Source organism: Homo sapiens, chromosome X, assembly GCF_000001405.40.
Source record: "Homo sapiens chromosome X, GRCh38.p14 Primary Assembly".
In the NCBI taxonomy this organism is placed as follows: Eukaryota; Metazoa; Chordata; class Mammalia; order Primates; family Hominidae; genus Homo; species Homo sapiens.
The window spans coordinates 121,019,692-121,047,474 of record NC_000023.11 but is presented as its reverse complement, the minus strand read 5'-3'; the positions used below and the strand labels follow the sequence as shown (position 1 = coordinate 121,047,474).

The window sequence follows — 27,783 nt, the reverse complement described above, 5'->3', positions numbered from 1 at the left end:
CGGAGGTCCGGGGCGCCGGACCCGCCGCGGCCTCGCCGGGCCTGGCTGGCCTGTTTGTTCTATACTTCTAATGTTTAATAATTACCCAGAGCTTTGGATATATGCAATTCTGCAAAATAAATCAAAAGGAGTCAGAAGGCAATTTTATTTCCTAATAGACCCTTAGTTAGAATTTAACTTAAAAGCCATTTTTAACAAATGTAAACAATATCTCCCCTCCTCTCCATCAAAGTCTGACGGAGACAAATGAAAAGATTTTTTAGAAGAATAGGACTATATCAAGACCAAAAAAAAAAAAAAAAGCTAAGAAAGGGTACCATCAACAATCTTTACAGAACTTCTGGAAAGTAAAAAGCAAATGGTACTGGCCTGGGGAATAACCAAAGAAAATGAAACCTCAGCCCCGGATGGCAAAGGTAAGTGCAATTCTTCCAAAGAGAGCCCTGAGTGAAATTTTAAACAGGAGTGAACAAAACAAAAAGCAGAGATTGGGCCCTAGAGTACTCATGGCCTTATTTCATTTAATAAGTTGCATCCACAAGCAGTGGACCAGGAGGATCCTGCCCCCTCTCAGATAAAAAAGAGCAATTGGCAATGGCAGCTTTTGCCCCTTGGACAATGGTTCTCAAACTTGAGTATGCAACAGAATCACCTGAAGCACTTATTAAAACACAAATTTCTGAGATTCACTTGGAAAATTCCTTATTCGGCAGTCATGGAATGATTCACCTAACAACATGAAAGCATCCTAGAAGCTTTGAGTTAAACTATTAAATTATTTGCAAGAAAAACAACAATGCTGCCAAAACATACAACATAATGCATGTTAAAAATCACAGGATGTCTTATTATGAAGAACAAGGCAAAGATGCCTACATTTGCCATTTTTATTCAACATAGTATTAGAAGTTCTAATCAGAGGAATTAGGCAAGAAAGAAAAAAAAACAGAAAAAAAGTAAAATTACCTCTGTTCACGTATGGCATGACCTTATGTGTAGCAAACGCCAAATATTATACAGAGGGAGAGAGAGGGAGACAAACACATACACAGAGGTAATATACAAATTCAACAAAGTTGCTGAATACAAAATAAACACAAAAATATCAGCTACATTCCTATATGCTATGAAGTAAATATCTAAAAAGGGAACTAATAAAACAATTCAATTTACAATACTATCAAGAAGAGTAAAGTACTTAGGAATAAATTTAACCAGTGAGGCAAAAGACTTGTACATTGCAAAATACAAAACATTGCTGAAAGAAATTGAAGGAGGCATAAGTAATGAGAAGACATTCTATGTTCATGAATTAGAAAACTTACAATTATTAAAATGGATAATACTTCACAAAAGTGATCTATAGATTTAAAGCAATCCCGATCAGGATCCCAATGATGTTTTTGGTATAAATAAAAAAGTCTATTCTAAAATATATATGGAATTTCAAGGGGCTCAGAGTACTCAAAATAATTTTGAAAAAGAACAATGTTGGATGATTCAAATTTCCTGATTTCAAAACTTACAACAAACCTGAAGTAATCAAAATAGCGTGGTACCAGCATAAGGACAGACATAAACAAATGAAATAGAATAGCCCAAAAATAAACATTAAACATATAATCAGTTAAATTTTTAAAATCTTTTATTTATGTTCAGGGGTACACATGTAGGTTTGTTATATAGGTAAACTCATGACACAGAAATTTGTTGTACAGATTTTTTAGTCACCCAGGTACTAAGCCTAGTCCAATTGTTATGTTTTCTGATCTTCTTCCTCCCACCCTCCTCCCTCTGGTAGGTCCCAGTGTTTGTTGCTCCCCTCTTTGTGTCCATGAGTTCTCATCATTTAGCACCCATTTATAAGTGAGAACATGCAATATTTGGTTTTCTGTTCCTGGGTAAATATGCTAAGAATAGTGGCCTGCAGCTCCATCCATGTTCCTGCAAATAACAGAGTCTCATTCTTTTTTATGGCTGCATAGTATTCCGTGGTGTATATGTATCACATTTTCTTTGGACAATCTGTCATTGATGAGCATTTAGGTTGACTCCATGTCTTTGCTATTCTGAATAGTACTGCAATGAACATTCGTGTGCATGTGTTTTGTTTTTTTTTTAATTTCAATAGGTTTTGGGGGAACGAGTGGTGTTTGGTTACATGAATAAGTTACTTAGTCATGATTTCTGAGATTTTGGTGCACCCATCACCTGAGCAGTGCACCCTGTTCCCAACATGTAGTCTTTTATTCCTTGCCACCACCCACCCATTCCCCCAAGTCCCCAAAGTCCAGTGTATCATTCTTATGCCTTTGCATCCTCATAGCTTAGATCCCAATTATGAGTGAGAACGTACAATGTTTGGCTTTCCATTCCCGAGTTACGTCACTTAGAATAATAGTTTCCAATTCCACCCAGGTTGCTGTGAATGCCACTATTTCATTCCTTTGTATGGCTAAGTAATATTCTATGGGATATATATATATCACATTTTCTTTATCCACTCATTGATTGATGGGCATTTGGGCTGGTTCTATATTTTTGCAATTCTTTGAACTGTACAATACGATAATTGTGACACAACCTATCAAAACCTCTGGGATACAGCAAAAGCTGTGCTAAGAGGAAAGTTCATAGCACTAAATACCTACATCAAAAAGTCTGAAAGAGCACAAATAGACAATCCAAGGTCACACCTCACGGAACTGGAGAAAGAACAATCCAAACCCAAACTTAGCAGAAGAAAGGATATAAGAAAAATCGGAGAAGAACTAAATGAAATTGAAACAAACAAAAATTACAAAAGATAAATGAAACAAAAGGCTTGTTCTTTGTAAAGATAAATAAAATTGACAGATCATTAGTGAGATAACCAAGAAAAGAAGAGAGAAGATCCAAATAAGCTCAATTAGAAATAAAACAGGAGATTACAACTGATACCACAGAAATAAAAAAGATCATTTAAGGCTACTATGAACACCTTTATGAGCATAAACTAGAAAACCTAGAAAAGATGGATGAATTCCTGGAAATATACAACCCTCCTAGATTAAACTAGCAAGATACAGAATCTCTGAACAGAATCTCTGAACAAGCAGCAAAATTGAAATGGTAATCAAAAAATTGCCAACAAAAAAAAGGGACCCGAGGACAGGCCTACTCAGCCTGATTCCACCTACTAGTGCTGAACATGCCATCAGGTGGTCTGGGAATTGCCCTGCCCCATAAACCACCATTAACACCAGAGCACTCTTCCCAGGGTCCTGGGAATGAGCCCACCCAACCTGATGCTACTACCACAGCAGGCATCCACTCACACATGCCACATGCAGGCCTGGGTACTAGCCCACCCAGCCCATTGTAGTCACTGCCAACACTAGTGAGGACCAATTGCAAGGCAGAGGATTATCCTGCCACTGCTACTGCCATCACCATGCCACGCCCACTGCCAAGAGGCCTGAGGATATGGCCACTCACCCAGCCCACTTCTGCCACTGCCAACATGTGAGCAAGCTACCTGGAGCCCCAGGAATCAGCCCACCTGGACCAACTAATGCCAATGCCAGCTTATGCCACCCAGAGGCCCAGTGACAGGCATGCTCAGCCTGATGTTTTCACCAATAAAGCCTGAGCACTGGCCAACCTGATATACCTGTGACCACGAAAATGTCACAGCCTGTACTAGCAGCTGCACCCTATGCCACTGAGAAAATCACAGGCACCACTGACACTGCTTACAGCCAAAAAAATCATATGGAGACTGCAATACTGCACATACACAGAATCAAAGCACTACCCAACCAATATCATAAATACATCTTCAGGAAAAAGTTCTTCCCTACAAAAGCAAATTCAAAAATTGGAAGAAGCAACTGTTACACCAGATGCACAGACATCAGTGAATTAGCACAAGAAACATGGAAAAGCAAGGGAAAATGACACTTCCAAAGGAATATAATAATTCACCAGCAACAGATCCAATCAGAAAGAAATTAACAAAATGCTGAATAAATAATGGAAAATACAGATTTTTAAGAAGCTCAGTAAGACACACGAGAACTCCGAGGAACTATACAAAAAAATCAGAAAAACAACTTAGGATATAAATGAGAAATTTACCAGACAGATATCACTTTAAAAAGCAGCAAATAAATTCTAGAAGAATTTATGGAATGAAATACAAAATACATTTGAAAGCATAAATAATAGGCTAAATCAAGCAAAAGAAAGAATTTCAGAACTTGAAGACTGCGCTTTTGAAATAAACCAGTCAGACAAAAATGAAGAAAAAAGAATAAAAAGAATGAGAAAAGCCCATGTGAAATATGGGACACCATACAGCAACCAAATATTTTGGATTTTTAGTGTCCCAGAAAACAGAAAGAAAATAAAAGGGATAGAAAACCTATTTAATAAAATAATAGCTGAAAACATCCGAAGTCTAAAAAGAGATTTAGACATGCAGATACAGGAAGCTCAGAGATCCTCAAATAGATGTAATTCAACAGGTCTTGTCTTTTTTCCCAAAATGAATGACTAGGGACATTGGATGCCAGTTCTCCTCAGAAAGATCAAAGTTACTGGTGAGTGCATGTTCCAAATAGAAAACTGTGGGAAGAGAGCCAGGACCTGTCAAAAACTCCTAGAGGAAGAAGCTGGAGTGCAGAAACAGAAAGCAGCAAGAATCAGACAAAGTTTGACCCCCAAGGAACTCAGATCCCTGCAGAAAGTGTAGGTAGGAGTGTTTCTCTGCTTCCCCCACCCCTGTAACAGTCTGCTGACTGCCAAACCATTGGAGAGCCCCTCTGCCCTTATGGCCCTGGGCAATACTGTTGGTTGTGATTTGAGAGCTTCCTAGGGGCAGAGAACTGAAAGGTCATCTCATGCAGGCATGATTGCATGCCGCTCAGACACAAACTGAGACAGTGGGTGTCATACCAGTTGTAGCTGTGGTGCGCCACTGCCCTGCCCAAGGAATCTCTGCCTTGAGTCCCCACACCACCAGTTTCCCTGCAAACATACCCCACAACCCACTCTGATTTTGGCAAACACGGGAGACTGGTGGGTCACCAGGGAGTTATATAGGACTCCTAGAGATCTCACCCTCAGCGTGGGCCACCTCTAACGGAGGGGGGAGTGCAACCTGCCACAGAATTCTTTCTTGGGATAAAGAATACACAGGCACGGCACCAATTTCTGAAGGGAGTAGCACCAGTAGCCAGGAATGGATGCAAAGAGTCGGTCATCTCTTAACCTACTCCATCCACTCTTGCGGACACAGCAGTTTCTCCCCTGCTGGGGGCCAGCACACATTCAATTGGAGAAAGCACTCTTTTTTAAAATATTTTGATCTTTTTTAAAAAACGTTCTGGGATACATGTGCAGAATGTGCAGGTTTGTTACATAGGTATACATGTGCCATGGTGGTTTGCTGCATGTATCAACCCATCATCTAAGTTTCAAGACCCACATGCATTAGGTACTTGTACTTATGCTCTCCCTCACTTGGCCCTCCACCCCTCAACAGGCCCCAGTGTGTGATGTTTCCCTCCCTGTGTCCATGTGTTAACATTGTTCAACTCTCACTTATGAGTGAGAACATGCGGTGTTTGGTTTTCTGTTCCTGTGTTAGTTTGCTGAGAATGATGGTTTCCAGCTTCATCCATATCCCTGCAAAGGACATGAACTCATTCTTTTTTATGGCTCCATAGTATTCCATGGTGTATATATGCCACATTTTCTTTATCCAGTCTATCGTTGATGGGCATTTGGGTTGGTTCCAATTCTTTGCTATTGTAAATAGTGGTCCAATAAACATACATGTGCATGTGTCTTTATAGCAGAATGATTTATAATCCTTTGCGTATATACCCAGTAATGGGATTGCTGGGTCAAATGATATTTCTGGTTCTAGATCCTTGAGGAATCGCCACACTGTCTTCCACAATGGTTGAACTAATTTACACTCCCACCAACAGTGTAGAAGCATTCCTATTTCTCCACAGACTTGCCAGTATCTGTTGTTTCCTGACTTTTTAATGATCGCCATTCTAACTGGCGTTAGATAGCATCTCATTGTGGTTTTGATTTGTATTTCTCTAATGACCAGTGATTAGCTTTTTTTCATATGTTTCTTGGCCAAATACATGTCTTCTTTTGAGAAATGTCTGCTCATATCCTTCACCCACTTTTTGATGGGGTTGGTTTTTTTCCTTGTAAATTTGTTTAACTTCCTTGTAGATTCTGGATATTAGACATTTGTCAGATGGATAAAATTTCAGATGCAAAAAAATTTCTTCCATTCTGTAGGTTGCCTATTCACTCTGATGATAGTTTCTTTTGCTGTGCAGAAGCTCTTTAATTAGATCCCATTTGTCAATTTTGGCTTTTGTTGCCATTACTTTTGGTGTTTTGGTCATGAAGTCTTTGCCCATGCCTATGTCCTGAATGGTACTGCCTAGGTTTTCTTCTAGGGTTTTCATGGTTTTAGGTTTTAGGTTTAAGTCTTTAACCTATCTCGAGTTAATTTTTTTATAAGGTGTAAGGAAGGGGTCCAGTTTCAGTTTTCTGCATAATGCTAGCCAGTTTTCCCAACACCATTTATTAAATAGGGAATCCTTTCCCCATTGCTTGTTTTTCTCAGGTTTGTCAAAGATCAGATGGTTGTAGATGTATGGCGTTATTTCTGAGGCCTCTGTTCTGTTTCATTGGTCTATATATCTGTTTTGGTACCAGTACCATGCTGTTTTGGTTACTGTAGCCTTGTAGTATAGTGTAGCATAGTTTGAAGTCAGGTAGCGTGGTGCCCCCCACCTTTGTTCTTTTCGCTTAGGATTGTCTTTGCTATACAAGCTCTTTTTTGGTTCCATATGAAATTTAAAGTTTTTTTTTCTAATTTTGCGAATAAAGTCAATGGTAGCTTGATCGGAATAGCACTGAATCTATAAATTACTTTGAGCAGTATGGCCATTTTCACGATATTGATTCTTCCTATCCATGAGCATGGAATGTTTTTCCATTTGTTTGTGTCCTCTCTTATTTCCTTGAGAAGTGGTTTATAGTTCTCCTTGAAGAGGTCTTTCACGTCCTTTGTAGGTTGTATTCCTAGGTATTTTATTCTCTTTGTAGCAATTGTGAATGGGAGTTCACTCATGATTTGGCTCTCTGCTTGTCTATTATTGGTGTATAGGAATGCTTGTGATTTTTGCACATTGATTTTGTATCCTGAGACTTTGCTGAAGTTGCTTATCAGCTTAAGGAGTTTTTGGGCTGAGACAATGGGGTTTTCTAAGTATACAGTCATGTCATCGGCAGAGAGACAATTTGACTTCCTGAGGATTGTTCTGAATGGAAAGTTTACTGTACTGAATAGTGCACATTATGTATGCAAGTAACAAGTGACAATTCAAAGGCCCCTTATGAGATTGTTTCACCACAGCACATTCACAAATCTCCATACAAAAATGTGTTTAGTTATTCTCCATGGTCTAGATTTGCATGTGGATGTATTTTAGCTCCTGACCCAAACTCTGCATGGTAAAATTAATCCTTGGAGCTACTGAATTATAAAGCTGGAAGTTTCCAACAGAGGTCCCAGTGTTGGCCACAGCTCCAGATTTATGAACTCATGAAACGTTAACTGCATTTCTCTGTGATTTGTGTCTCATTCTGTTTTTCACATATGATGTATAAGTGAAGTACGCTATCCCCAGATGACATCAGTGCCCTGATAAACCTATAAAATGCTCTTGTGTTTAACTGTCTTCATACCCTAGCAACATAAGAATTGAATGATATGAAGATGAATGGAACATCTACAGATTTCTTAAAGCTACTGGTTTTACTGTCCTAAGCTGAAAGAGTACTAAGTGGGTCAAAGCCCAACATGAGCTAACTGGGCTCTATCAGCAGAAGTTCTGGTAGGATGACTGGGCTTCCTGGGTGATCTCCAAAAACTTTTTTTTTCTCACATTTCCTTCAGGGACAATGGTACATATTACTTTGGGGGAAAAACTGCTATCTGTATTTGCTGTAGTAAGGATTGCCAGTTAGACAACATTCCTAACAATCGTCCCTCAGACCAAGACCATGGAAGCAGATGGGCAGCACTAAATTTCATGAAGCCTTGTGCTATGGTCTGAGTGTTTGTGTCTGCCTAAAATTCATACGTTGAAACCTAATCACCAATGTGATGGTATTAGGAGGTGGGGCTGGTACTAATCTACTACTTGGATATGTCTGGGCACATATGGAAGGATTATGAATGAATGATGAATAGGATTAGTGCCTTTATAAAAGAGGTTCCAGAGAGCTGCTTTGCTTCTTCTACCATGTGAGGACACAGCTAGAAGGCTGTGAACCAGAAAGTGGGCTCTCACCAGACACTGAATCTGCTGGCACCTTGATCTTGTACTTCCTAGCTTTCAGAAATATGATAAATACATTTTTGTTGTTTATAAGCTACCCAGCTTATGGTATTTCGTTATAGCAACCCAAATGGGCTAAGAAACCTTAGTTCTAAAGACATTACATAACTGCTGTGAAAGGCTGACCCTAATAGAACAGACAGGTGATTCCTCTTGTTTGGGCAATTGGCCAATCAAATTCAAAAATGGCGAAAGGACATAAAAATGAACCAAGCATCAGAGCCATTGGAGCTTGAAACAAAGCCAGTCTCAGGTTAGATAATCCCCATGGCCAAAAAAGGGCCACAGACATAAAGAACATCGCAAGAATATGAATGGGAAAAGGGAAAAAGACAAAGAAGCATATGGAAAAAGAGGGGCTTAACAGAAAGGGAGTGGAGGATATCGGATGCCCTAGATAAGGTAAAGTAGGTGGTGCCAGTTGAAGGACCAGCCAGCAGAGCAGCATCAGGAATTCAAAAGGACAAAGCAATCTCATCTAATCTCCTTGCAATAAAATTTGTCATACAAACCAGGAGACTTTTGGTAGTAAAAAGAGGGTGCTCCTAATAATTATACCAGACCTACAGGTGCACATTGGACTTTTCTCTGGCTGACTGGTCAACCTTTCCATAAGATCCTCTATGATCAGGCTCCTAGCTACCTGCCTTCTCACACTCATCCTACTCTGAAGCAAAAGCCTGTTCTCAGGTACCTCTGCTATTCTAAGAGCAAAAGCCAACTTCTTTCCCACAGAGAAGCTCCTATTCATGTTTCATATGACCGCACACAAGAGCCCTAGCTGGTTATCTCAAGTTCCCAGGCCCACCATACTAAAGAGACTAAAGTAAAATCAACAGACCTCAACACTACCTTCTCATAAGTTATTCTAATTCAAGGACAAAAGACAAATCTATCTCATTCCGGGCCCTAAGGTTTTATCCTGTGGATCAAGCCAGAGAGTACCTTGGTCACATGCATGCTTCTAGAAAGAGCACAGTGCAGAGGATTGTTAGAAGGACCCTGTTGACCAGAAGCCTCATTGATAACATAAACAGTCAATTAACATATATTTTGTATGTTATATGTATTATATATTATGTTCTTATAATAAAGTAAGATAGAGATAAGAAAAGAAAATCATAAGGAAAAGAAAATACATATACTATTCATTGAGTGGAAGCAGATCACCATAAAGGTCTTCATCCTTGTCTTCACATGGAGGAGTCTGAGGAGGAGGAGAAAGAGGAGGGTTGGCCTTGCTGTCTTAGGGGCTGCAGAGGCTGAAAAGGTGGAGGAGGTGGAAGGGAGGCAAGAGAGGCAGGTACACAGAGTGATTTTACTGAAAAAAATTTGCATATAAGTGGACCTGTGCTGTTCAAACTTGTGTTGTTCAAGGGTCAACTGTACTTAGTAGATGTGCAATACATACCTGTCAGCTGCTTTATGGGTATGTTGGCTACAGCAGGACTTTATCTCACTTCAAATACTTTGCAAAAGACACCACGGGGTGTGTCAGACTATACATCTTCCTTTAGACAACTCCCATTAATGGTGAGAGATGCATTTAATGAATGAAAATGAACTCATAAATAGAACATTTAAAAGAATATATTAGAAACATCACAGAGCTAAAAACCTCCAGAGCAAGGAAGGGAAGCAGTGCACAAATTCAGCCCTCAAACAGCAAAAGCTTCACAGTCCAGTGCTAGTAAAAATTGGTCAGAGACGCTAGGATAATAGGAATTATCAGGCCTGTGTCAAGGTTATCAAAACATACCATCTTTTCCAAGAAAGCACTGGAAATCCAAGTCTCCACCAGCCTATGCCCATGGAAATCATTCTGCCTGCAGAAATTGTTCCACCAGAGAACAAGCTAGCACAAGTCCAAGTTGCTCCTTCGAGCAAAGTGTAAAGTCAAAAATGACTTCTCCAGGCCTATGACTCATTAGTGTTCCGTGATTTAAACATTTTCTTTTTTCAATCACCTCCTTACCCAATCCCCAAAGAGAGGAAAAATTTAAACTTTAGACCTTCAAAGCAAGTCAAATGATAGGTTAGTCTAACTGAACAAACGAGGTGATTCAGTCTTCCAAAGTGGCAGAGGGGGGAAATTTATTGCTTGTCTCACGCATCCTTCAATATTACCTGCAAAGCAAGCAGATTTAAAGTAACCTTAGCTTGGTGCTGAGGATTTTTTGGCCCAACTCCAAAGCTACTTCCATTATATACATTTTGCACATACACATACACATATATACAGAGACAAATGTCTTTGCCATACCAAGATCATTCAGTATCAAGACAATTAAATCCTCTCTAAAATAAAGCCCCATTTTTGACTAATTAAATAATGTCTAAACACACTGAACAGTGCCAATGCTTTAGAAATGCTTGTTCACTGTTCTAGCACTCCTTAACAAAAAGATAGTTGTCAACAAGGAGAAGTAATTTGCATCATCAGGTTAAAACCCTTCCTCTCTCCTCCAGCCCTGCTATCACTTACACACCCACACCAACCACCACCACAAACTTAGATCTAGACAGTTTTGGAAAGGCGATTTTAAAGTCTATCTAAGAGTTTATTTTTTTTGCAGCCTTTGGCATTTTAGCTTTAAAGTGCTTCTCTCTCATTTTCCAGCAGTCTCTGAGCCAGTCAGTTCCCATTCCATAATTCCACAGGGCGGCATCATTATGCATGGCTTATAGTACTTTAGGGAAAAGGATGGAATGTAAACATTTCCATCCAAGCACACATTATCAAACTGAGCAGGCAGTGTAGGTGGGTGATGTACAACCTTAGACATGACATCGGTATTTAAGGCAGGAATTTCTCCCACAAAATATGGAATGGAAGGAGGAAGACAAGGAACTGTATAAATATCACACAAATCCAAGGCTGGTTGAAGTCTCACTGCTGGTGCCACCCTGCTAGTGTTAAATTTTCACAAGATAAAAGTATATTCGTCCCCCTTATACACAGTTTTGCTTTCTGTGGTCTCTCTTGGGCAACCTCAATTTGAAAATAGGTGAGCACAGAACAGTAAGATATTCTGAGAGAGAGAGAAAGAGACCACAGTCACATAACCTTGATTACAGTATATTTTTATAATTGTTCTATTTTATTGATTCATTATTGTTGTTAATCTCTTCTTGTGCCTAATTTATAAATTAAACCTTATCACAGGTACATGTGTACAAGTATATATAGAATATATATAGTATATGTAGGATTCAGTACATCCATACTTTCAGGCATTGACTGGGAATCTTGGATCATATCGCCCACAGTTAAGGGGGAACTACTGTAACTCCCTTCAAACAAATTTTTGAAGTCCAGGAAGGAGGCCTCTCTGCCTACCTAATGCCAATACAAGTAGGATTAGTCCATTCTCTTTCTATGACTTGATGATCTTAATATTCTATGGCTATAGTCTAGACAGGTTGATTCAACATATATTGCCTACAATGAAGAATATCAATAATGCATTCTACTGTTCAGGTTTTCAATGAATTCAAGTAAAATGAGAATACCTGGACAAACATAAAAACTGAATCTCAGCCACCAATTCTCTCCTACCCCACTACTCAAGCAATTTTAGTCCTTCACTATTTTATTAATGTCACAATTAGTCATAAAATGCCCCATAAATACCATCTTCATTCTTACCTCTGTGCCTTATTAACTGTTTCATGAGTCTCCTTTTCAAAAGTCCATCTTACTCTAGTGTTTAGCTCATCTCACCTTCTCCATGAAGTCTTTCACTACTCTTCAATAAACAATAATCCCTCATTTCCTGAACTTCTAGAGCAGTGGTTTTCAAACTTCAGCATGATCAGAATCTCCTAGAGAGCTTGTTAAAACAAAAATTACTGGGACCCTCTGCCAGAGTTTCTGATTCAGTAAATCTGGGGTGGGGCCATAAAATTTGCATTTCTAACAAGTTCTCAGGCAATGCTGATGCTGCTGGCCTAGGAACCACACTTTAAAAACCAAAAATCTACAGTATTTATTTTTAGCATATCTAGCTCTTGATTATAGATTATCATTTGTTATTCTTCAGTTGCTTTATGAATACATGTTTGTATCAGATAAGACTTTATGCTACGAAAAAACAGAAAATCCAGTGCAAACTGACTTAAACAAAAAGGGGATTTATTTTCTCACTTAACTGAAACATGCAGATACTAGTTGATGTAGCAGCTCAATGATATCTTCCGGGACTCAATATCCTTATATCCTTCTACTCCACTATCCTCAGTGTCAACTTTGTCCTAAGACTGGTACATCTCTTGACAACCATATAACTGCCAGCCACAATCAAGACTACATTATTACAACATCCAAAGAGACACACAGAACTTCTCACCAGCATTCCAAATAAGAGTACTGAAATTCCCCCTGACTGGGTGGCCTGAAGCAAGTAACCTGTTAAGGAGAGGGGGGAATACCAGAAAGAAAGTCTGAATATGGTTAGAAAGAGGGTTAGAAAATGGATCCTGGAAAAACACCCTATATAAGCCTACTACCACACAACTCAACAAAAGTATAACATCAACTAGGGTAGTGACAGTATCATCTACCTCCCTTACGTTACAGAGGGAGCACTCAATAAACACTGGATGATTCATTGCTTTTTTTAAGAAAAAATTCTACCAATTGATTTAGATGCAGCCTTATAATATAGACTAGCTATCTATATATGTATCAGCTAACTGATTAAATTTCATTTCCATTTGAATTTCATGCAGAAAATGTTGATAAGAGCTTTCTGTGTTTTTCTTGTATACATTTAAATAAGCCAGCATCATTTTAGACTTTTATTTTTTGTGACCAACATGAAACATTATTATTCCCAATTTACGATGAGAATAATTAATTTTCTTTAAAATGAGTTTTTATCTAAAACATTCATGAGAAACTAGTTCCACTGCCTCAAAAAAAATGTCTGGCGTATGAGTATTGAAACAGCTCTCACTGCCACGGACCACTGTGATTGTTAGAAAGCCTCATTTTATATATTGAGCTAAAAAATCAGTTTCCTTACAACTTTTACTCATAGATCCTAATTTTACTATTAGGGGCCACACAAAACAAGTCTTCCTTAAGATATTGACCGTATATTTGGCATATATTTGAATGTAGATGTCTCATACACTAGAAACTAACAAGACCATCTTTGATATGCTACTTCAAAGAAAAACCAAGTTGAAAAAAATACATGGCAAGATTTTATATTAGTTTCCTAGGCTGCTGTAATAAAAATACCACAAACCAAGTGGCTTGGAACAATAGAAATTTGTTCTATCACAGTCCTAGATGTCCAAAATGAAGGTGCTGGCAGGGCCATGCTCCTTCTAAAGGCTCTAGGGAAGAATCTTTCCCTTGTCTCTTTCTAGCTTCTGGCGGTTGCCAGCAATCCTTGGCATTCCTTGGCTTAGAGCTGCGTCACTTCACTCTCTGCCACCATCATTACATGGCCTCTTCCCTTGTGTTTCTCTGCTGTGCCTCTGTGACAGAATCTGCCTTTTCTTTCTCTTATAAAGATGCCAATCACTGGACTTAAGCCAACCTTAATATAATATGACCTCACCTTAACTTTATTAATATGTGCAAAGACTCTATTGCTAAAAAGGTCATATTCACAGGTACTAGGGGTTAGGATATGAACATATATTTGGGGGCAAGCACAATTCAACCCATTACAACTGTATAGGGCATCAATATTCTCAAAAATTATATAAGTCTGTATGCTTAAAATATTTCATGACTTCAAAAAAGTTTAAAGAGGAATTATGTCAGTAGAAGGTAAGATAAGTTCACATAAATATTCCAAAAACAGTAAAGGAGAAAACCCACATTTCGCTGCTCATAAGTAGTAATTCAAATGTTAATAACACTCCAGTTGAGTGTTTACTACATATCAAAACTATCTTGAGCTCTTTACATGCATTAGCTCATGCATTCCTCACAACAGTCACATGGTAGGCATGGCAGATAGACAGAACAATAATGCAACCCTTCCTTTCCCCAAAAAGATGTTCACATTTGTATCTCAGAACGTGTAAATATGTTACTTTGCATGGCAAAAGGGCCATGTACAAACGTGATTAAAGTTACAGACCTTAAAATAGGGAAATTATTCTGAATTATCTGAATGGGCCCAATCTAATCATATGAGCCCTTAGAGAACCTTTCCAGGCTAGAGTGAGAGAGAGAGAGACAGACACAGAGTGACGTGATGGAAGAAGCAGCAAGAGAGATTCAAAGAGTGAGAGGGATTCAATCCATTGTTGCTGAATTTGAAGATGAAGGACGGGGCCATGAGCCAAGAAATGAAGTTGGCCTCTGCAAGCTGGGAAGATCCCAGTGGACAGCCAATGAGGAAATGGAGACCTTAGGCCTACAATCACAGAAAACTGATTTCTGCCAACAATCTGAATGAACAAGGAAACAGATTCTCCTGTAGAGAGTCCAAAAAGGCATGCAGCCCTGCCAATAACCTGCTTTTAGTCCAGTAAGGACCTTGTCAGACTTTTAACCTATATAAGATAATAAATTTATATTCTTTTAAACCACTAAGCTTATGGTAATTTGTTACAGCAGATAAAAAACTAACACAGTAGGTCAATATTATCACTACCATTTACAGACCAAAAAGCAAGCAATTCATTTCAGAAATATTAAGTAATATGTCTAAGGTCACACAAATACTAAGCAGCAGAACAGAAATTTAAAAAGAAATGTTCCTCAAAGTAAAGCTCATGCTTTTTTTTTTATCACAACGTTATACTGTTCATCTCAAGAAATGATAAGATCCCAAGGAAGTTAGTTTTAAAAATAAAAGAAACAAAAATTATGTTGACCCAGTGCCTCATCACATATGGTACTGACACTCATGTCAATAAATTTAAGCAGACAACTTTTATGGCCTAAAAAATGCTTGACTACAACAGCAGAGTTGACTTTCAGAAGATTTATATGTGAGCAAATATATATTTGTAAACCTTTTCCTCTCCCCTTCTTTTCCCTTATCCCTCCCCCTCCAATATCCCACCAACCTAAAATATTGTTATACAGCAAACAGCCAAGGAGAGCCAAGACGTTCCTCAAAAATAAGTTTGGGAGACTTGTTCCTCTCTTTAAAACTTCAAAACTTCATACGGCCACAGTAATTAAGATGGGATAAGAAAACAGACCAATGGAATGAAACAGAGACTCCAGAAACAGATTTATGCATATATGAAAACTGGATAGGTGACAGAGCTTGCCATTGATAATCATAGGAGAACGAGTAGACTATTTTAGAAATGGTTCTGGAATAATTGACTGTTTATATGGAGGAAAAAAATGAAATTGGATCACCATGTCACTCCATACAAAATCAATAGCAGATCAATTAAATGACTCCATTTTATTTGTGAATATTCTCAACTTAATGACAGTATAGTTATTTGCATAAGTGCAATAAGAAACTGTTTTCTTTTGTAACAGGACACAACTGGAGAAACTAGTTATTTCACCAAGGCTTTGACTGGAATGGCATGCTTCTTTAAAGAATCAAAGTTGACTTGTAGAGCCAATAAAAGCCCCTTGGGAAATGTGGCCTCATACCTTGTCTATGCCATCTCTGTACAAGATTCCCGACTTGTGGTAAGTAAAGAATGTCAACTTTCTAACAGGTCCAGGAGCCCCAAGCTATATAGGAACCTCAAGAGGAGAGGAGAGGAATTTAGCCAACTCGTAGGTATTTGAGGGTACGAACCCATAGCTGGGCTCAGCTTTATAAAAGTCTTATCTAAGATTCCTTATGGAATAGAGTTCCATCGAAGCCAATTTTTAAAGCCTATGTGAAAAATCATTATTCTTGCTGTACTTTATGCAAATAATCAGGCCAAGTACAATAAGACTAAAGTTTATGTTGTAAACAACTCAATTATATCATGATTTGTTATTAATAAACATGGGGACTGGAGAGAGAAAAATTACGGTTCAAAAGAAAAAATATAGTATACCTGTTGTTAGCTGTTCTCAAAGTTTTTTTCTGCAGTTTGGACTAAATCCTTGAGGGCTACAAGTCCCCAAACTAATATTTTCAAATCTTTACTTTTAAAACTAAGAATTGCACCCCTTACCCTAGTACTCAATATTTACCTTATAGTATGCTGTTCTCTTAAATGTGGTACTAAAACTATAGATGACAATACTAACACCTTTGCCATGCAAACCTTGGAACCCCAACCAGGCCTGCATGAGTATGCTCAGACAGTTGCAAAGTGGTTCCACTCCTCTCACCTTGGGGTCAACACCTACCCCCACTATCCCCCTGATCAGCAGGAAGAAGTTAGAGCGGTCTTCACACTTTTTCCATCTTCATTAGCCAACACTTTAAGATTAAGGTGTTATAAAATCCAAAGGGAAGGACTGAAGCAACCATTGCAAAATTATAACTGAAGACAGTGAAACAGATCTAGTCTAACCAATGCCATCTTCTAACCTCCAAACTGTCCTTGTTCATTCCTGGGCAAAGGCTGAACTAACTTTGGGAGGAACTTAGTTTATAGTACAAAACAAAGACAATAACAGCCCTTTCCCAAAACAAACCTCCTTCTTGCCTGGTGACTAAACTGCCTTTGTAGGACTAACAAATTAGCCACAGGATTAAAAATTATGGTTTAGGAGTCATGCAGCTGGAGGCCACAAGATTCTGACCCTCCCTAAACTGCTCCCAAGATCAGTGTTTGAGAGATTTCGCAGACCCTGCATTCGATCGATCAGCTGGCACCACCCAGATCGATAAACTGACTCATCTGATCTTGTGGCTTCCACACAGGAACTGACTTAGTCCAAAAGGACAGCTTCAATTCCCTATTATTTCATCTTTGACCCAACCAATCAGCACTCTTGACTGACTGGCCTTCCCCCACCCACCAAATTATCCTTAAAAACTCTGATCCCCAGATGCTTGGGGAGACTGATTTGAGTAATAATAAAACTCAGGTCTCCCCCCAGCCAAAAAAAAATACTCCATTTGAAAGTCCAAACCTACAAATAAATAAGGGAAAGTATCCTTTTTGACTTCAGGTTAGGGAAAACATTTTAAGCATATCAGAAAAGCACTAAAGAAAAATATTGATAAGTTTAATCCATCAAATTTGAGAACGTCTGTTTATCAGAAGACACCATGAAGAAAATTAAAAGGCAACCTACAAACTTATAGAAGATAACTGAAAATCATATAACAAAGAATCAATATTGGGGGTATATAATGAACTCATACAAATCAATAAGGAAAAGACAAATTGTTCAACAGAAAAAAATGTTCCAATAATATGAATGGGTATTTTTTTAAAGAGGAATTATAAATGACCTATAAAACATGAAAAGCTGCTCAATCTCATTTGCAATCAGAGAAACACAAAATTAAAAACATAACAATAAGAATTTTACTACTGCCAAATTGGTAATAAATTAAAAGTCTATTAATGTGAAGTATTGGTGAAGATGTGGAGCAAAAACTTTTATAGTCTGCTGACAAATTGGTAGGACCACTTTGGAAACGTTGAGTATGTTTATTCTCTATGATCTTGTGGTTCCAAACATATATATGCACCCTAGAAAAATTCTTGAACATGTACAAGAGACATACACAAATGTTTCATTCTTTCTGTCTCTCCAAATCCCTGGCATCAATAGTAGTGTCAATAGTAGCACTTGTAATTGCAAAACCTGGGAACAAACCAAATATTCCCCAACAAGACAACAGTTAAATTATAATATATTCATACAATGAAATACACTGCTGAAAATGAATTAAATACAGCTACATGCATTAACATAAAAATATCTCAGAAATATGTTAAGGGAATAAAGGAAGTCATGGTATCATTTCATCCATAGAAATGTAAAAACATAAAACTAAACAAGATTTTGGATAAAGATATATACACATAATTTTTAAAACTGAAAATAGCAAGAGAATGAGGAACACAAAATTTAGCATAGTGCTTTCCTCTTGTTGGAGGTGATAATGAGTGAGGGGGTGCTGCAGGGCTTGCAAATGCACGAATAATACTCTGTTTCTTAAGCTAGAGATGGGTACTCACCTATTATTCTTTTGCCCATATGATATAGTTCACTATAAACATTTTATACATCAGTGTAGAAAATATATATTGTGAGGAGTTGTTTTCAAGCTGTGTTTCTCTGAGCTGCCTAAATAACCACTGTAAGAGAGAGTAATTGGGGTGGCCAGAGCAGTAGGAGTGTTAAGGAGGTAAGACTCTGGGCTCTCCCACTTCAATTTCACTCAGAGCAGCTGCATCCATCTGAATATAGAGGAGGTTGGAAAAGAACTTCAAGCAGGATTATTCTGCAGAAAGAAGGGTACACACTGAATTACAAGGTCCCCTTGTACAGTTAGGTATTTGTTTATATAGCATTAGCTATTTGGCAGAGGGCCAAATATATCAAAAACTCAAGTATCAGCAGCCATTGCCCAGTGATGACAAATTCAAACTTAAGGTAAAATAGTTGTGAAATGATATTATAGGTCAAGGTGAGAAAACTGGTACGTATTTACTTGCAACCTTTCAGGAACCCATCAACAATGAAATGGATAAAGAGGGGTGGCTTTTCTCTAAGCTTCTATCCTTGGTTCCTTCTTCCAACCAGCTGTAAGTTTCATAATGATTTCCAACATCATAAAGTGGTCTGTCTCATTCTTTTTCCCCCTACCTCAGCTGTTCACTCTCTCTCTCATTCATTCTCTCCAATAAAATGTTCCATGTGACTATAAATTTTTTCTTTTATAAAATGTGTCAGCAAATGTGAAAAATTTTCAACTTCTCATTATTTCAGTCTCTCCAAATCCTTAACATCAATCATATGATATTACTGCAAAAATATTCTAATCTAGCTATATGATTCAGCAATTCCAGTATATAAATGCATACCATCAAAAATGTTTTTATGGCTTTTATTTTTTCTTTTCAATATAGCATTTTCAACCTGGTGCAACATCCCCGTTTTGTCTTTTTGTCTGGCAGAGGTCACTTTTGACAGTGCCTTTGTGTTTCAGCAGAAATGGATAATCTGCTTCATAAGGGTAGTTTTATGCTCTGACTTACCCTTTAATTACTTTTTAATAATGTATTTGGTATATTTTTGCATGGCAGTTCATCACTTTCTTTGCAAAGTTTCTTTGTAAGTGAGAATGAAAACATTTATTCTGAATAGTATTGAATGAAGCTATTACAGAGAAGGTATATCCTCACTTCACAATAGGCATAGGTTATGAAAAGGTGGGTACAGATGAAATTTCCGTAAATCCAGCCTTATCTTTCCATAAACAAATATGTTCATTTCTAATATGCTTTCTATTCATATTTGAGTGATTATCACTGATTGATTATTCGCCCTTTAACTCATTATTTTATTTAGTTCTCTCCTCCAAGTTGTTAATATTCTATAAATATACATCAAATGCACCAAGAGAATGTAATATTTAAAGAACCAAAAGGAGAAGTTTTGGGATATGGGAAGGCATTTTGTAATGCAACTAATCACCTTCCTAATTTGTTGAGGCTTTTAACTTTGAACTTCATTTACAGATAAATACTCTTATAAATGAATACCTATATAAAGGATTCTGTATAAAAAAGGATTTCTAAGTCCTAATGGATGATCTTGTACTCAGTAAAGGAGTTACTCTATGCACTGCATCACAAACTAGTGTACCAACACCGACGGGAGATATAGCAGTGTTCTATAGAATTTGGCACACATCCTGGCACATCTTCCTAGGATTTTAATATTACTCAAAGACCAGGAAAATACTAGAAGTTAACTAAATAATTAAATGCAGTATTTTCCATTAAAACAGACATTCTGCAACAGAAAGTTATATTCATATGTTAAAGTAACATACAAGAATTCCAAAAATTGTCTTGCTTTAGAAGGTACTTAGAATGTTGCTCCCTCACCCTCACAGTTACAAAGTTAACTCTTCTCTGCCATTAGGGGTAATTTGCCAGAAAAGTTTGAGAGGCCAGATCTACAGCATTTCTGATAGGAAGGTATCCAGTCTCTATTTGAAAATTGCATAGCATATGTGGGCTTTCACCTCAAAAACATAAAGGATTCCACCGTTCAAAAAGCCTTTAAGGGCAGGCTGGCCACCTTACCTGCCTCCATCTTATTCCTTCAGGTACTAACATGCCTCTGTTCCCCGTCTTCTTCCCCCATTCAAGGTTAGTTTCTTTTTCCACAGTTAAAGGCTACATATTATTGAACCATAAGAAAAGCAGCCTTAGCAACCTCAATGACGAAGCTCTTCTCATGCCCGCTGTTTTTCCCTCTGCCTGACTCCCTCTCTGGAATGGGGGTAGGTAAGAAGAGATCAGAGCTGAGGCGACCTGGTCAGACTCCTGCCTCTGGGGCTGGAGAAGGTAGGGTCCATGCGCTCCCTGGGATTCCAGTGCAGTACACTTCAGTTCCCACTGTGCCCTGCGAGCCAAATCATGGAGGACGCTGAAGGATTCGACCATAGCAAAGAACTGTATAGTGACGGTAGAAGGGGAGAATCATTTAGAAATCAGCAAAGATGGCCCGGCGCGGTGGCTGACGCCTGTAATCCCAGCACTTTGGGAGGCTGAGTCAGGTGGATCACGAGGTCAGGAGATGGAGACCATCCTGGCTAACATGGTGAAATCCCGTCTCTACCGAAAATACAAAAAAATTAGCTGGGCGTGGTGGCACGCGTCTGTAGCCCCAGCTACTCGGGAGGCTCAGGCAGGAGAATGGCGTGAACCCGGGAGGCGGAGCTTGCAGTGAGCCGAGATCGCGCCACTGCTCCCCAGCCTGGGCGACAGAGCGAGACTCCATCCAAAAAAAAAAAAAAAAAAGAAAGAAAGAAAGGAAAAAAAATTAAGAAACAAATCAGCAAAGATCTAGTGAATAACTTTTGGGGGACGTTCAGGTAAACAACTTAGGTGAAAAAGACGATACACCAGTCCATTTATGTGACAAATGTGAATTATCAATTAAAATCTATGGACGGATGATTACATGTAAGCATGTTTTTTGCTAGGTCTGTGCTATTTTACATGGAAAAGGAAGAGATAAGATGTGTCCAGGCTGTAGCAATCCTGTGAAGCAAATTGAGAAACATACACAAGGTTTTATCTTCATGTGTAGCACACTTCAAGGGTTCAAGAGGGACCTAGAGGCTCATATCAACTACTGTCATATGAGAGTGTAAAACCCTGTTGCTTGTGCCTGACTAGAAAATGTTCATCCTCCATGATACCCCATCACGAATTGAAATCCCTAACCATTTTATGATGCGGCCAGACAAGCACCATATGAGCCAATATTCCCCCAAAGCAGCACATTATGATACCTACTTTCTTTGCAGCATTTGCCACATGAGCTACATCATTAGCCCCAAGGATATTCATGCTCCTGCAGCAGAATTGTTCACGGCTTTACCTCCATCTCCTTCAGTAAGTCAAGGAACCTTTGTATTTCAACAAGAAAACATGGCAATTTCATAACTGTTCCTATTCAAAAGCACTCCAATTCAGGTGCTTGAGAACCACACCTACTTCCTCCACATTTGCTCACCATCATCCTGAATATCAAGGTCAACGAGTAGTATTGAGTTCTTATAATACTCTACCTCCATAGCTACATTCTGTACCATAGCACCTCTTCTGCTACCAACAAGCCATGCAATGCCACATCTTCCTTAGGCTGCAGGTACTCCTCACTTGGTTCATAGCTAAGCTTCAAGTCCAGCAATGACCTCTACTCTACCACTCTCTTCACGGACATAGTATTGTCCAGATGCCACCTCATATAAGATATCTTCTTCCAGGACCTGCCTCACAACAACATGTAAAAACACACCCTTCTCACCATTATAATCATAACTCTTTACCCAAGTTCACTGAATATCAAGGAACTCCGAGTCCTCCATTTATACAACCAGGGGAAATGATTCATGACATGTGGCCTGTACCTGGACGGCCACCCCTTCCTCTATGAATGCAGAATCTACCTTCTCAAACCCTACTTCTTGGGACACATCATCCGGGTCAGACAAGATACAGACCATATTACCAATGATAATACTATTTTGAGCAGGCTATATGATAAGAGGAAAAAGTAAATATTGTCAACCTTCTAATCATGCTTTTGACTGAGGAAGGCAAAGCATCTCTTACAGAGGTGCCCGTAAAACACGTCTTATCTGTTAAAATAGTTTTAAACTGTGATCTTGGGAATGATTGCGAGTATTTTACTATAGTGTAGATAAATGGTTTAGTTGAACATAGCTGTATTTTATCAACTTTGTTACTCTAGTGTGGTAAATTGACCCCAAACTGACCATTTGCAATATTATTTTCTTAAAAATATGTGTGTTCTGCTTCCAAAATATTGTTTCTGTTAAACTCAATGTTTAGTTTTTATTGTGATATATTTTGTTAACCTGGGTAAAAGGAGTAAATTTCATTATTGGTGGTTAAGACAGCAATATGAGCTTTATACACAAATCTCAGTGTAATTTAGAATGTCCTTGTTTCTAGGGCCAAGTTGTTCTTTCTCAATGTAGCTAGGCTCTGTGGTCCAAATCATCTGTAGGCTGAGCACTGCCGTGGATTTTAGAACCCATACAAATGAGGGCGGGCACAGTGGCTCACACTTGTAATTCCAGCACTTTGGGAGGCCGAGGCAGATGGATCACCTGTGGTCAGGAGATCGAGACCACCCTGGCCAAAATGGCGAAACCCCGTCTCTACTAAAAATACAAAAATGAGCTGGGCATGGTGGTGCATGCCTGTAATCCCAGCCACTCAGGAGGCTGAGGCAGGAGAATCACTTGAACCAGGGAGGCAGAGGTTGCAGTGAGTCAAGATCATGCCACTGCACTCCAGCCTGGGCCACAGAGCGAGACTCCATCTCAAACAAACAAACAAACAAACAAAAATACCCAAAACAAAACAAAAAAGAACCCATACAAATGAGAAGCATTTAAGCAGCTCTAGCCCAAACCTTTCAAACCCAGCATCAAATTCTTCTTGCTACTCCAACTCTGACCTTATGCCCTAGTTATAATGGGACACCTCTACTTTCTTGAGAGTCAGTGTTCACCTCATACTCTGGTTACAGTTACTAAGGCAATGCCTTTTCTTCTTCCTATGCATGAATCTCTATCCAGGAAATTTATTAGGCAGTATTACCCCTCTAGGACTGTGACCTTGACTTGTCTTTGCCAGTATAAGGGTAAATAAAATTCTAAAAATTAACTTAAAATTCTTCCTGGTATAAAAAAGTGAAGAGAACTTGCTCTGTTTTCTTTTAGTATTTCCTTCAGAAAACTTGAGATTATAAATGTTAGCTCTGTCTCTTTGAAATGTATATAAATTTTTTTCAAAGCTAATAAACCTCTTGACAGTTTTGCAGCCAAGTGTGCCAATTCTTAGGTGTCATTCTTAGGTGCCAAGGAGCACTTCGAACACCAAAGTGAACACCAAAAAGAATGATGCCCTATCTCCCTGCCTGTGGGATCAGCTCCAAAATGTAACTTCTTACTTGTCAAAAACATATGAGAAATGTTATTTTTCCTTTCAATAAATACAGTGAACATGTATGTAATGAATTAACATATACATAAAACATAGAAGATTGAGAGTGTTTTTGTCTTCGCAGTTGTTTTAATGCATTGCCTGTGAGGCATATGGTTTAGTGCTTATTCAATGACAAAACTATTTCATTCTTTCCTATGTTTTATATACAGGTTGTATTGGGTTGGCAGGAGATTTTGTGTTTAATTATTTCCCCAACAATTTAGCAATGAGGATAGGATCTTTCTGGCAATTTCTGAATTGGGTAGATCATCTGAAAGACTTGTGGTCACACAACAGTTAGGTAAGAGACCCTGAATTATAGAAAAGTCTCCTTTCTAGCTCTTCACTTTTTGGAATACTACCTGAGCCATCCACTCCAAATTCAAGATTTTATTATTGAGTGAGGGTGGGTGATACCAGAGCTAAAAATCCCATCAGGATCACTATTATCTTTGATGGTAGAAAAATATGGGAAGCCAGAAATGTTGCCTGCAGGTGTTTCTTTTAAATCTCTTAAATTCGAATACCTTTTTGTCACATTTGGAATGAGCATACATGTAAGAATCTAGTTTTACAGTTTCTTTAATTTGGACAAATTATAGTTGGCCTTCCATATCTGTGGGTTCTGTATACAGAAATTCAACCAACCACAGATCAAAAATGTAGTGAAGCCTATGATGGTTGTGTCTGTGCTGAACATTTACAGACTTTTTTTCTTGTTATTCCCTAAACAATACAGTATAACAGCTGTTCATACACCATTTACATTGTATTAGGTATTAGTAATCTAGAGATGATTTAAAGTATACAGGAGGATGTGTATGGGTTATATGAAAATATGATACCATTTTATAGAAGGCATTTAGGTACTCAAGGATTTTGGTACTTTGGGGGATCCTGGAGCCAATCCCCCGTGTATATAAAGGAATGACTGTAACGTATCTGGGTGGGTCTTATCTTAAAAATCTCTCACTTCAGCCATAAGAATTACTGGTATTTATGAGATAACTGCCATTCTAAGGGGAAAATTTTAAAAATGATTTAATAACAAGAAGGAAAGATTGAGGAAAATGGAAGAGGAAATACAAGAATTAAAGCGACTTTCTCTTTCACATAAACCTCTTCCTTTCTCTGCTGTCCCAACTGTCTCTGAACCCCGTGCACTTCTCTCTTTCCCTGCATCAAATTGACTCCTGGCAAGAAGGAGGCACTGATCTTTTAGATAGTTGCTTGGGTTCCCCTGAGCGGTGGTAGCAGCCACCACTCTTATTGAAAAGGCTCAAGCCCTTACATTGGGTCACTAGATTTATTTGAGTATTCTACATATGATGATAGTTATACATACATAAAACAGCCTTTGTTGGTATGCCATCAGAGTGACTATGAACAAGCATTGTTATCCAATTCTAATACCATGCCTGGGAGATGCAATTTCCTAGACCTTTGTACTCTTTTGCCAGATCTTAGTCAAACATATCACGACCGTAAAATGATCATAGAGGCAAATGCTAGGCCCCAATCTGATGATCTTATACTCCTTTTCAAAATGCAGATTTCATAGTGTTTACTGATGGACCATGTACTTGGGATAAATTGGCCAACTGAAGGTTTCTTATGCTGTGGTGTCTGATCATGAGCTCTTGGAAGCTTATGTTTTGTCTGGAATTAAGTTGGCACAAGTAGGTAAGTTAATAGCCGTCACTAGTGCTAAAATTCTTGGTCTGGACTTAGAGTGAATATATATGCCAGTGATAAATATATGTTTGGTGTATATTATGCAACAGGGCAAATTTGGAAAAATAGATTATTGACTTCAACGGGAACTACAATGTCTCATGGATAATCAAGAGATGATTTGTTAGAAGCCTTACAACTACCTGTTCAGATATCAGTAATCCACTATAGAATTCACACAGAATAGAATTATGAAATTTATGAAGGCAATGATTTTGCCAACAGCTGCAAAAGTCGTTGTTAAAACATGTCAGACTTCAAACTTAGAAGCCCCACTTTTAATACAAAGAACCTGTATTTATTTTCAGAAAAATAAGATTCATGAAGGGAAACAGACAAATATTGAAAAGGAGTTAAAAGAAATTCAACTGGACTATAGGAATTATCCATAAAATAATTCCTATACCACAGTATTTGCTTGATTCATTTTTGTTGCATTATCAAACAAAATGATTTACGTAACAGAGGGATGTTAAAGACACTAGACTCTAGCCAGGTGTGGTGGCTCACACCTGAAATCCCAGCTACTCTGGATGATAGCTTGAGTCCAGGAGTTCATAGCCTACAGTGAGCTATTATCATGCCACTGCACTCCTATCTGGGCAACAGAGAAATACTCTATCTCTTAAATAAATACATGAAGAGACACTAGACTCTTACTACATCAATCAGAAAGACGAAATTATTCAAAACATATTAAAAAGACTTGTTATTTGTGAGCAGAATACTTTACAGGCCACTTCCAAGTACCACAGAAAAATTTCCTCAATCAACTTTACCAGAAAACTGATGGCACTTAGATTTCATGGAATTAGTGTCTATAGAGGGAATTCAATTTCATAGAATTAATGCCTAAAGAAGAGATTTTGTCTGGTTATGGTGTATATGACATCTGAATGGCCTAAGTCTTTCCCTCTTCAAACGCTTATGCTCAAGTAGTGGTAAAGGTCCTCTTAATGCACATAACCCCACTTTTGGGCTCTCAGAGCTTATTCAGTCAGACAGAGGAAATAATTTTATGTGCACTGTTGTCCAGGAATTATGCAGATATTTGCAGATTACTATAAGCTATCATCATACTCCAAGTAGAATAGATGATTCAAACAGTAACAAACTCACTGGCTATGATTCAACAATCGACTATGTTAAAATGGCCTGGATATTTACCAATGGCTTTGTTAAAATTGGCTTTGTTAAAAATTAGAGTGACTCTTGCAATTAATAATGTTATCTCTCTCTTTGAACTTATGTTCGGCAAGCCTGTGAATTTAGGTCTGAAACCACTTACTCTGCTTGCTTTAACAATTCTTTCATAATCATGTTCAATAGCTAAAAGGGCTTCTCTCTTTTCTAGACATCCTGAGACATAAAGTGAAAAGGACCTAGAAGGAACTACTGGAAGAAATATCACCCCTATTAAACTGGGCAATTTTGTTTAAATATGAGTGTTCTGGAGGAAACATGCATTGTCACCAGGCTGGATGGGACCCTTTCAAGTGCCACGATCACTCATATGGGTATCAGAGTGAAAGAAAAACCAGATGGTTTCATGCTTTCCATGTGAAGCCAGCTCCTCAGGAGGACTAGACTGCAGTTTCCACAAAGGATTTGAAGTTTAATTTCCTAGAGTGACTAATATTGGTAATGAACTCAACTGAAAGGAGGTATTCTAAGGAATGTATTATTCTGACTACCTTGCTGTCCTAGTTGCAATAGTGTTTTGTTCAATTACTATAAGAATCACATTTTATTAGAAAATAAACATGTTATTTGTTACACCACTTTTTCTTTCTGTACTCCCAATAATGGTTCCTACAGTCACATTTCCTCTCTCCTCTGAATTGTATTCCCAGTACAGAAATGCTGGGCCTGCATTTATGAATCCAACAGTCTGATTATTGGCCAAATAAACACAAGACCATGTTCATTACTATGTTTTAATATCAAAGTAAAAGTAACTACTATGCATCCAGAAACCAAAGCCCTAAATTTCACACAAAAAAATTTGTTA

At 38.3% G+C, this 27,783-nt stretch overlaps 1 long non-coding RNA gene and 1 pseudogene across 1 annotated transcript; both read left to right on the top strand.

Annotated features, from left to right (window-relative positions):
* LOC105373328 (uncharacterized) lies at nt 1-27,553 on the top strand. Its single transcript, XR_938572.4, has 4 exons — nt 1-416; nt 15,901-16,059; nt 25,591-25,721; nt 27,127-27,553. It is a non-coding gene; the product is annotated as an uncharacterized LOC105373328 (long non-coding RNA).
* CBLL1P1 (CBLL1 pseudogene 1) lies at nt 21,368-22,196 on the top strand (annotated as a pseudogene).
* Nucleotides 27,554-27,783: the final 230 nt, after the last annotated feature.